General features: G+C 46.8%; 1 protein-coding gene across 13 annotated transcripts in view; it reads left to right on the forward strand.

The window, feature by feature from the left end:
* Positions 1-12,467, forward strand: part of TG (thyroglobulin) — a 267,942-nt gene that overhangs the window by 40,835 nt on the left and 214,640 nt on the right. For 12 of the 13 annotated variants that reach the window (NM_003235.5, XM_017013794.2, XM_006716622.4 and 9 more), the window contains 4 exons: positions 394-548; positions 3,585-3,741; positions 5,255-5,473; positions 11,584-11,733. In NM_003235.5, the coding sequence (NP_003226.4) occupies positions 394-548; positions 3,585-3,741; positions 5,255-5,473; positions 11,584-11,733 (681 nt within the window). The remainder of the gene's footprint in view (positions 1-393; positions 549-3,584; positions 3,742-5,254; positions 5,474-11,583; positions 11,734-12,467) is intronic. The other variant, XM_017013796.2, reaches the window with a different exon arrangement.

A 12,467-nucleotide genomic window follows, 5' to 3' on the forward strand; every position in this document is an offset into this window, starting at 1 on the left:
GTTCAGGTTGTGCACTGAACAACCTTAGAGAATACCATTCATTCCCATCATCTATGATGTCTATTCTTAACCTGAAAAACCATACAGAGTGGCCCTGTCTGTATGCAAGATGGCATGGAAGATTTTCCAAGGAGAATGTCCAGGACCTCAAAATATAAAGCACCCTGGTTTGGAGGATGAGGCAGGACTGAGCTTTCTGTGAGGGTGCTCAGTAATTTCAGAGACAAGCTGTTATGCTGGAAAGTACTTAGACTCAGAATGACAATGCAAAATGGCAGTGCTTATGTGTTTTGAGCTCAATGAGGAAGGGTTATTTTTGCAGAGGAAATCCCAAACAAAGAAAATAACTCTACAGGCCCATTGCCTCTGCTGATCTCTGGTGCTTGCCTGCAGGGCCCCAGCTGTGGCAGACCATCCAGACCCAAGGGCACTTTCAGCTCCAGCTCCCGCCGGGCAAGATGTGCAGTGCTGACTACGCGGATTTGCTGCAGACTTTCCAGGTTTTCATATTGGATGAGCTGACAGCCCGCGGCTTCTGCCAGATCCAGGTACATGCCTGGCCTTCCCCACAGTGAGGGCTTGGACTCAACTCAGGGTTACGGTGTCAGAAAACCTGAGGGCTCACATTAACACAGAGGCTGGAGACAGGGGCCCCATCTTCAAGTGTTTGCTGGAACTAATAGTGAATTCTCTTGGCAGCCTTGAGTTTTCTAGACAGCCACTTTAAGAGGGGCTAGGGTCTTCCCAGGGGTCTGGCCTTAAGCTGTTAGAAACAATGTTAGTGCTTGTTCAAGTCTTTTGATGTCAAGGCTGAGGTCTAGTAGAGGGCTCAGAGGAGCCTGGCTAGAGTTTGGTTCATGACAGAGTCTTCAGGATGCAGCAGTTAACGAGATCACCTCTTTGCTCTTTGGGGAGATGACACTAAACAAGTACCTGTCAGGTAAAGGTAAGAGCTAAGAGGGGAAATAAAGCAGGTCGGGCCTTGCTTGAGAGGGACGCTGGTGAGATGAGAGGGGTTTTTTACAGAGAAAGGTCAGGAAGAGGCCTCCAAGAGGTGCTACTGAAAGGGACGGGAGTGAGGTAAGGCTGAGGGCCTGTGAGTTCTGGGGGAGAGGAACCCCTGCAGAGGAAATAGAAGGTCAGAGTTTCTGTGATGGGCACATACTTAGTGTGAGCCATAAAATTGAGGGAACCGGTATGAGTGAGCAGAGCAAAAGAGGGAACTGCAAATTGGGGTGTGCATGTTGGAAATGGCTCAAGGCCTTGTTGGCTGTGGCTAGGATGGTGAGTTTTATTCTGCATGTGATGGGACATCACTGAAGTTGAGAAAGTGACAGGATGATGGGAGTTTTACAGTCTTCTCCAGCTGCTGTGTAGAGGGTAGGCTTTGAGGGGTTCAAGGTAGGAGCAGGGGTCCTCACTGCAGCCTGGGGCCAGGTGGCAGTGCAGAACATGAGAAGCAGCAGGAATCTTGACATATTGGGACAAAAGAGCCTACAAGACTGGGTAGTAGTTGATGTGTCATGGGAAGATGGAGGTGTTGAGGATGACTAAGGTTTTGGATGCAGGGAATGGCTGAAGACATGTGTTTCAAACATGGGGAAATTAAATCCCATGCAGAAAGGAGTAAAATGTTCTGGAATCCAGGGGACTAGAGAGCTGAGGACCATGCTGAAGACAGAGATAGGGTCAGGAGGAAGCTGGGCAGGGACCTAGTCCTAATGACTTCCTAAACAAGGTGTCAGGGTATGACCATGAGACAGAGAGCTTCTAAGGTCAGAGCTTCTAAGAAGGGAGTCTTATTCTTCAGAAGGAGGAGATGATACATAGACTTTCAAGTCAGATGGATCTGGCTTCAAACCTTGGCTCCAGCACTCCTACCAGTGTGACCTGGGCCTTTCCCAGGCTTGGTAAGCCTCAGTCAATCATCTGTGAAATGGGTTTAGGAGAACCCACCTTGGAGAGTCAGTTTAAGTGAGATAACGTACAAATCCAAAGCTTTTTCTCTTTATCCTCTGCTGAGAGCTAAGGAGGTTCTGGGGTTAGTGGAGTTTTGAATCCCGGCTCTACTACCTACTGGCTGTGGGATCCTAGGCCATTTCTCAGTCTCTCAGAGGCAAATTCTCCATTTGTAATGTGGGGTAATGAGAGTCCCAACTCCATAGACTTGTTTTGGAGATTAAACTAGCTAATATGTTTAAAGCACTTCACACAGGGCCTGATGAATAACACATGTTCAAAAATCGTGCCACAGTGCCTTCTGAGAATACTAAGCCCTTGGCACACAGTAGGATCTCATTAAATGACAACTATATGAACACTCACATCCACGTTCTCACCTTCACCAGGGGTGTGGCACTGGGTATGGCACACAGTAAGGTCTGGGTGCCAGGGCCATTGGGATGGATGGCATGCTACATTCAGGCTTCATATGCATTGGACCCCTGGGGCTGGCTTTCAGGGCCCTGTCTGCATTCTGAAGAAGGTAGTTGAGGCCTTTTGTGGTGAAGGCTGAGGGCCAGGGCCACGTCAACTCTGAATTACTCATTGGTGACAGAGTTCACTTTCCTTCTAAAACCCTCCAGTCACTCTCTAGGCACCCAAGCTTTTGATAAACTGACTTCCCCTTGGGCTTTATGTAAACTCTCTTGGAATGTTACCTTTTGCCATCATCTGAATGCTTGTGTCCCCCCGAAATTCATATCCAAACCATAATCCCCAACATGATAGTATTAGGGAACTTTGTGTTAGGTCATGAGGGTGCAGCCCTCATGAATGGGGTTAGTGTCCTTATAAAAGAGACCCAGAGAGATCCTTGCCCCTTCCACCATGGACACAGTGAGAAGACAGACATTTATGAAGAGAACCTTCACCACACATGGCTGACATCTTGATCTTGGACTTCTCAGCCTCCAGAACTTATGAGAAAAAAAGTTCTGTTGTTTATAAGACACACAGTCTGTGGTATTTCGTAATGTTCATCCAAATGCACTAAGACACCCTTTGAAAGGGGCTGATATGAAGAGGGAGAGGTGAAGCTTGTGTTCAACCCTGGACCAAAGCCTGGCACCATCCTTGGGCTAACAGGCCTCACAACCGTCTGTCTTTCTCCCCAACCCTGAGGAGCCTGCAGTACATCACTCACAGAAATTCAGTGGGCACAACTCAGCCACACTTAGGCTGGGAGGAGAGACCAGGCTGCATAGCCAACATTGAGGAGCTGGTGGATGCTATAGGGGTTCGGAGATGTCCTGCTGAATATATGTATGGTGAAGACATTTGCAGAGTTGGCTAAAGTTGTTTCACCAGTGAAGTATGGTGACTGGGCTTTTGATGCATGGAGCCTAGCTCTTCCTCCACTTATACTTCTGTACACCATGTGACCAGGGCAGGTTATTTAACTTCTCTGAAACTTGTTTTCCTCAGATGTGGAAAAGGGGGTCACTATTCCTTGACCCCCTGAAGTAGGGTTGGTGGAGGATTGAAGGAAGTAACATAAGCCAAGTTCTGGTTCCTGGTGTGGACCCAACAAAACTAGCTTTCTACTCTGTGTTCTTGAGCTGAAAGTGTCTGTCTTCTTGTAGGTGAAGACTTTTGGCACCCTGGTTTCCATTCCTGTCTGCAACAACTCCTCTGTGCAGGTGGGTTGTCTGACCAGGGAGCGTTTAGGAGTGAATGTTACATGGAAATCACGGCTTGAGGACATCCCAGTGGCTTCTCTTCCTGACTTACATGACATTGGTATGTTTTTCTGTGGTAGTACCTAGAATAAGCTATGCAGCCTCTCTGAGTCTCAGTTTTCTCATCTGCCAAATGGAGCTGGTGAAGAAGCCCATGATGTCTTCTTGTGAAGACTATGGGGAGAGCTAATTATTTAAAAACATATAATAATCAATAGACTTCTTGCCAATCGTTTACTAGAGTTAAATAATGTCAACAAAGAGCCTGGTTCTGTGTCGTGAACATCTGCTAATACTTCTCTTGATTTTCTGCGTGCAGAGAGGTGAAACAGAATGTGTGAAGGGGATAGCAGGGTGGGCTGGGGAAGTCTTTATTGGTTTTTAACTTATGTCTCGTCTGTTTCTAATTGTAAAACATTTCAGACCACTTACACCATTTAAAACAGGGCAGTCACGATATGGATGAGTCAACAGAGGAGAGAGAGAAGAATGGATTTTATGATACCTACTGTGGGCATGTGCCATGTTCAGCTCTGAGCTTTCTGGTAGGATAGGAAAGAGCCCGTACATTTCTGACCAGAGAATGGGAGGCAAGTCCATTTTCTCTTCCACCATCCAGTGGCCAAACATCCAGGGGCAGGACTGGCTGGAGTTTGCCCTCTGTTCTATGAGGAAGAACTTCTGGAAAACATTGCCAGGAAGGAGACTGCATCTCTGTCATTCACTAGTTCTCAGGATAGTAATCCTCTAAATAATAATTCAGAAGAATTGTGAATTCTCCAGGAGCCCCAGCATTGTGAATTAGGGGTCCCCTTCCATCTTTCTCCAAAGAGAGCCTGGATAATGTGGGTATGTTTGGAGCCGCAAAAACATGAGATGTTTGCTTGTTTCAATGGTGAGGCAGCGAGACTGTGATTGGAGACCATGGGCTGGCTCTACAGTAGCCTGTTACAGCCAAAATGTTTGCTATGTGCACGGATCTGCCCCAGCTCCTGGCATGGTGCTCGCCTGCTTTCTTCCTAGGAACTACTTATCATTTGACACCTGGAGACCTCTCGGTGTTTAGCTAAACACTGAGGCAGAAGGCCCTGTTGCCTCTTCAAGTCTTTGCTTTCTTTTTGAGTGGCCACTTCACACACATTCTCTCCTAGGACCCTTACCAACTGCAAAGAGAGCCATTCCCAAGCCATTTTTCAGGTGGGAAAACTAAGGCTCAGAGGTGTTCAGTGCCTCAATGAAGGTTGAGGTGGATGAGTATCTGAATCTTGAACCTTAGACTAGTGACTGAAGACCCGATATCCTATGTTAACATGGGTTGCATTGGTGCCACAGAAATGGCAAGAGCCAGGAAATCTGGGTTGGAGTCCCTACTTGTGCTTCTGATTCCTGGGTGACCCTGAACCAGTTCATCCCCTTCTCTGGGCCTCAGTTCCTCCCTCTGTAAAATGAGACACCACATGATGCCTATGTCTCATTCCAGTCTGGATATTCTAGGCATCTCTGCCCTGCTTAATCCTCCCTGGCCCTAGCAGAGTACAGTGGGGGTGACCTCTACCTTATCCTGTGTCTTACAGAGAGAGCCTTGGTGGGCAAGGATCTCCTTGGGCGCTTCACAGATCTGATCCAGAGTGGCTCATTCCAGCTTCATCTGGACTCCAAGACGTTCCCAGCGGAAACCATCCGCTTCCTCCAAGGGGACCACTTTGGCACCTCTCCCAGGACATGGTTTGGGTGCTCGGAAGGATTCTACCAAGTCTTGACAAGTGAGGCCAGTCAGGACGGACTGGGATGCGGTAGGTCCACTCTCTCCCTGGATATCTCCTGTGGAGCCATGTGAGGCTTTAGGAAAGGCCACCTCAGCACTGGAGAGAGGCTACTCTGGACATCCAGGGCTGAGAACCATCCATTTAGTTAACGAGCAAAAGTTTTCAATCATCTACTATGCATGGGTGTATAGTCTCCATCTGCTAGGTGGCATGGCAGAAGGAGCCCCATATTTGCAGTGATTCTTTCTGTTGGTTATTGATAAGCTTGGACCCTGGGCCTGGCCTGCCCTGTCATTGTGATGAAGGCTAACATACATTTGTATCCTGGGCGCACATTTCTCAGTCTGGCTGTGGCAATGTTACTCACCACAATTTCCAAATGGTCATTCATCAGCCCAGGGCTTTAAAACTCAGGGAAAATGGTTCCTGATTGAGGTTCACTTGGGTTGCTCTTGCCTCGCCTGTGAGTAGTTTGGGGGCCATTTTTAATGGGAAAGTGATGCAGATTCCTTTAATGGAAGTTGCATTAGTTTCCTGTTGCTACCATAGTAAATGACCAAAAATTTTGTGGCAGAAAACAATACAGATGTATTATCTTACATTTCTATAGGTTTGGATTACAATGCGGGCATCACTGGGCTAAAACTGAGCTGTTGGCAGGGCCTGCAGTCCTCCCGGAGGCCCCTGGGGAAATCTGTTTCCTCACCTTTTCCACTTTCTTGAGGTTGTCTATATTTCTTGGCTGGTGGCTTCCTTTCTTGCTCACCAAACCAGCAACATTTCAGCTCTCTGACCCCTCTTCCCTGGTCACATCTCCTCTGACTCTCTTTTACCTCCAAGGACCTTAGAACTACACACAGCTGCATGATTCAGGATACTCCTTTATTTTGAGGTCAGCCAATTAGCGACCTTAATTCCATCTACACAGGTAATTTCCCTTTGCCATGTAACCTAACATATTCACAGATTCTGAGGACTGGGATATGGATATCTTTGGGGGGACCTTTGTCATGTCTACCACTGAAGATTCAAAGGTCTCCTGATGAGAAGCCTTCCTCCTGTGTGGGGTGAGATAGAAAGACATTTTTATGGCGCTAAAGAAAGAGAAGATGTTTCTCAGTTATTTTTTTCAATTATTTATGTTGGTCGCAACATAAAAGCCAAATGGCCTTTCCTTTTCTGAAATCTATGCCAAATTGTAAACTCCACGTTGGATTTAAGATGCAGCTAAATCCTAACACAGAAAACAGAAAGACAACCACTTCCCACTAGCATTTATGGAGAATTCTGCAGTTCAAGTGCACCTGCACAAACATTTAACTCTCACAATAGCCCCTGGTGGCAGATCCTTTCCTCATTTGACAAAGAAGCTGGGGTTCAGATTAAATGAGATGGGGCATCTGTCATGCCTGGGGTGGGGCTGACACACAGGAGGGACTGTAGCTCACCTAACTGATTAATAGAGGGCGAGTAAGCCCAGGTCCTCTGGGACCAGAGCCTGTGATCTTTCTTTCTATTCCATCAGAGCTGCCCAAACCAAGGGGACAAGAAACAGAAGCAGGAGTGGATGGTGCCACCCCAGGGTGGGTGAGATAGGGTTGCAGAGAGGGAGAGTCACAGAGAGAGCACCTGCCCCATGTTCACAGACTTTACTGTGAAGAGCCCTTGGCTTCAACGCCAGATGCTGAACTAGCAGGGGTGTACTGGTGTATGTGGCGTGTGTGTATGAGTGTGTGTGTGTATGTGTATTAGTGTATGTGTGTGGTGTGTATACATGTGTCTGATGTACATATGCATATGTGTGAGTGTGTTTGTGTTTTTGTCCGTACGCATGTGTGTGATGTGTCTATGTGTGTATGCACATGTGTATGTTGTGTGTGTGCATGTTGGGAGCAGGGGCTGCAGGAGCCTGCTTTTCATAGCTGCCCCAGGTGATGTACCACATGGGTCTGGAAGCAGCCCCAGGAGGCTCCTTGGCCTCAGGGGTGCCCTCTGCAGCCAGAGAAGGAGGTAAAGGGAAGGCAGAGAACCTGTGTTGACTCTGTGCCTTCAAGGAAGTTCTATCTCCTCTGACTGTCTTCCTTTCCATCCCCCACAACACACAGGTAAAATAAAGGGGCTGGCCTAGAAACCTGGTTTCAAGATTCCTTCTAGGAAGCTCAATTATTAGTTCCTGTCAACAAGAAGATGGGAGGGGCCACTCAGCTCAACTTTGCCTGAAGGGGAAAGAGTAGGGCCTGGGAATCAGCAGCTGGTGTCAGGGCACGGGGCTTCCGAGGGGCTGTGGGAGCCACAGGATGGGGCGTAGGGAAGAGACTGCATGGGAGACCTTGCCCAGGACACACCTGGGCTGGAACAGGACTCAGCAAACCTTTCCTGTAAAGGGCCAGATGGCGATGTTTTAGACATTGGGGGCCATATGGTCTCTGTCTCAGTGACTCAACTCAGCCATTGTGGGGAGAAACATATGGCTGTGTTCTAATAAAACTTTATTTACCACAACAGAAGGTGAGCTGAATTTGGCTCATGGACTGTGGTTTGCCAGTCTTGCTCTAGATAAACCTACACTCTATCTTCCAGCTGCTGTAGCCTTTAACTGACTCACAAAGACTTGTCAATCACACCACATGGCCCCATCCTCTTACTCCAAAGGGTTGGAAAGATCCAGAATGGAAGTCTCAAAAGCAGTACCAAAAGCCCTGAATTTTCTTCAGCATCAGTTCTAGTACCTGTCGCTCACTGAGTTTTTGATATTCGTGTGGCCTTACTAACATTTTACTGTCCAGAGACTCAGGTGTTATTAATTCCATCTTATGCATGAGGAACCGAGGGGCCTATAGTGCCACACAGCTTCAGGAAAGTGCTCTGTGAAGTCAGGTGGACCCGGGTTCGAGTCCTAGCTCCAACACTTTCTCATTGTGGATCCTGGAGAAAGTCCATTATTCTCACTAGACATCTTCTGAAAAATAGGGATAATAATACTTATTGCATGGGGTAATACCTATTGTTGTTTAGACAGCATGAAATAATGCAGAGCACAGCACTTAGTAAACTCTTGGCGAATGGTTTGTTGTGAAAATTGGCAGTGCTGAGATCTAAATCCAACTCTGTCTGCCTCCAAGTTCTTTGTTCTGTCCTCTGCATCACACGTCTCCCTTCTCAACAAGGAGGTTCTTGGTGAAATCACACCCTCTCATTTTTGTATCTATTCTTATTGGCACTTTTCCCTTGAAAACATATCTGGGACATGGCCTTGATGTTACAAGGCAGAGCACTGTCCTGTGGCAATAAAGCAGGATTCTCTGTGTCATCCTGGAGGAGGGCTAATCAGGATGGCCCCCTTGGAGGGCAATGACTCAGAGGTCCAATAGGAAAGTCCATTGCTCATGACTCGTGTAGGCACAGCAGCCTTGATCCAGGGAATTGGTGACGGCCAGGGAGCAGAGACCTTATTTGCAGCCCTGATGGAGTCAGTTTTGTTCCCCCTTTTGCCTCAAGGCCAGCCATATGGCTTCTCCTTGAAATTACCTGCTGGCAGCCTTCATAGCAGATTAGTTTATGAAGGAGAATAACTGAGAAATTGTCTATATTTTTCATATTCCATTCTGGATGATATTAACTTTCACTCATTCACTATAATTTCTTCTAATAGAGCTGGTTCCCTATGGATTTTTTTTTTGCTGAAGGAATTATGCCTGCCTGCTTACCTACTTTCCTTCCTTCCTTACTTCTTTCCTTCCTTCCTTCCTTCTTTCCCTCCAACCCTCCCTCCCTTCCTCCCTCCATGCCTCCCTCCCTCCCTCCCTCCTTCCTTCCTTCCTTCCTTCCTTCCTTCCTTCCTTCCTTCCCTTACTTCCTTTTTTTCTTCTTTCCTGTCATCCATCCGAACTTTCAAAATATTATATGCCATGTTACACACTCAGGGAGGCAAAAAACAAAGCTCCAATCTCAAGGCACTCACAGCCTGGCTGGGGAGAGATCAGTGAGTATTCAGCTAGACCATCCTGTGAAGAAGCCTGTTACATCACAGCCAGGGTGGTCAGGGCAGGTGTGCTGGGGTAGGAAATGCTGGCAGAAGTCTTGAAAGGTGAGGAGGAATCGTTGCTCAGACAAGAGCAGACAGAAGGTAGTGCATGTTTGTGCATGTATATGTGTGTGTGTGTGTGTGTGTATACCTGTGCTGAGGGTGCTAAAGTGAAGAAGAACATTCCAGAAAGATTGGTATAAATGCAGGGAGTCAAGAAGTTGCTGACTCTTTGGAAACAGTGCTCATAATTTGTACAGCTGGGGAATGGGGTGTGTGGGAAACGTGACAAGAAGTGGGGCCAGAGAGACAGGGACAGGCCAGGAGAGGCCTTGGAGCACAGCAAGGGGAGTGGGCTGGAGATGGGACCATGGAAGGATTTTAAGCTGGAGAGAGAGAGGACCAGGTGCGGGCTTGAGCCACCTTCCGAAGGGGTGAAGGACATTTACGGTTCCTCACAGATGTCTTTCTTCAGCAGAAATGCGGCTGTCAATGTTGGGGGGTTTGTGGACAAGGGTTGGCAGGAGGGGTGGCCTGACCCTAAAGCTCTGTGAGACTCTCAAACTCAAATAGGTATAACTGTCTTATTTTATTAGGCTGGTGCAAAAGTAATTACGGTTTTTGCAATTTTTTTTTTTTTTTTAATTGCAAAAACCACAATTACTTTTGCGCCAGCTTAATATTAAGGAAGGGTCTGAGGCTAAAGGATTTTCCAGTGATTTTGAGGGATTTAACTGAGGGTCAGCACCTATTGGTGGCAGTGGACCCAATGGTCTTGAGAGAGCCCCTTCTCCCGAGGGAAGGTTGACAGTAAGGCAGCCGTGGTCTCATTCTGACTTAGAAACGTGCTCTTTTGGGTGGAAAAGACTTGACGTCAGAGACGGAGAGAACCGGTGGGAGGAAACAGCGTGTGCATTCCCTGAGCACAGACAAGAGTCTGGGACCTGTGGGATTTGCAGCGGAAGTTAAGTTCTAGCTCTCTCATTTCTGCTAGTTGCCCGCACCTAGGCTTTTGGAGGCTGGGCAAGGCAGGTTGGCCGAAAGGCTTTTGTTTTCCTTCAGCGGTGAATTTGGAGGCCACTTGAAAAAAGGCCACAGTTCTGGGGTTGAAATGCTAGAGATAATCATCACCAACTTGACTCATAGAAGTAATGAAACTCCACTCTCGGAGGGAGGATATTAATTGCTCTGGGCAGACCAAAAAACACACTGTTCAGTTTCCAAGATGTGGCTCGAGTTTCTAATTTACTCAGAAATGCCAACTACACACGTAGACCAGAGACAGTAGTTGCTAAATCAACATTGGCTCCATCTCAGCACGTCCCACTCATTGGTACTGACTTCTCTGCCAGAGGGAGGTGGCTGGATTGGTGGAAGGAACAAAGACTTTGGTTTGGAGATGAATGAATGGAGCTCAAATCTCACCTCTGACACCTCACTGCTTGGCCGTCCTTAACCTTGAACCTCAGTTCTCTCTAGTCTTATATGGAGATGATAACTTCCCCATAGGGTTGTAAGAAAAACGGATTAAAATATCTGCACAGTGCATGGCATATTCTATAATTTAATTTCCCACTGACCTTTGCTGAAAAGCATACAAAGAAGTCATGCATGGACGTCTGAGGCTCAGCTTTCTCAACTGTGAAATGGGGATAAAATACAGACTTTCCATGGGTGTGATGTATTAATGTATGTAACAGGGCGATAGACTAAGTGCTGCCAGTAGTGAGCAGGATTTTAGCTTTCACCTTTTACTTGGTAAAAGCTCACTTCTTCTGGAAGTTATTTGGCAAATTCTCAAGAACACAACTCTGAACCATGAAACAAAGTAAAACAACCCCCCTCTTTATTTTACCCCTATTTGAAATCCCTGTCTGACCCTCTCATCTCCTACAAGCATGTCACTTCCCGGACAGCAGGAAGCTCGCCTGACTTCTTCACAGCTGCTTCCCTGCTTCTTAGAGTCTGACACACAGTAGGTTCTCAGTGGACATTTGTTAAATGAATGAGCTCTTGAACTGGTTTGAGGATTTTCTTTACCCTGTGTGTTCTGGGATTGTAACTGTGAAGCATGTGTCTTGATTTTTAACATCATTTCTCTGTTTTTTTCTAGTTAAGTGTCCTGAAGGAAGCTATTCCCAAGATGAGGAATGCATTCCTTGTCCTGTTGGATTCTACCAAGAACAGGCAGGGAGCTTGGCCTGTGTCCCATGTCCTGTGGGCAGAACGACCATTTCTGCTGGAGCTTTCAGCCAGACTCACTGTAAGTTCTGTGGAGTGCTTCTTTGAAAGAAAAGCCCTGCAATGAAATGGAACTCAACAGGGTTTCCCAATCTCTGCACTATTGACATTTTGGGACAGATAATTCTTTGTGCAGGGTTGGCCTGTGCTTGGTAGGATATTTAGTAGCATTGGTAGCTCTCAGATGCCAGTAGCACTCCTCCCTAAGTTGTGACAGCCAAACATGTCTCCAGACATTGCCAAATGTCTCTTGGGTGGAAATGGCAGGGAGAGCAAAATTGCCTACCTGTGAGAACTATTGGGTACACAACATAATAATCAAAGGGGCCGCCATCTTTGAATACTTACCTACTGCTAGGCCCTGGGCCAGGCATTTTACCTGTGTTGCCTCATTCAGTGCTCCCAATACCTCTTCCAATATTAGTAGCCCAGCTTTTACAGATAAGAAAGCTAAGACTCCAAGAAAAGAAAGTTAGTCAAAGTCACTCAGCTAATGGATGATGTAACTGGTCTTTGATCTTGGTTTTATCTGATTCTGAAACTTCTGATTTTTGTAAGTCAACCTTATCAGATTGAAAAATGGAAGATATTTTCCACCTATAGTCATTACTGCTATGTAGCTCATCTTCCTTCTCTGCTGCATGAATTTGCCAGGACTGTATGTATGGGTGGCCTTCCCATATGTCACGTGATTTCACTCGACCTACTTACTTAATAGTCCCCTGGGTATTGTTGGGTTTTTTTCCTAGCAAGGAC

The sequence above is a fragment of the Homo sapiens genome, chromosome 8 (genome assembly GCF_000001405.40).
Source record: "Homo sapiens chromosome 8, GRCh38.p14 Primary Assembly".
NCBI lineage: Eukaryota > Metazoa > Chordata > Mammalia > Primates > Hominidae > Homo > Homo sapiens.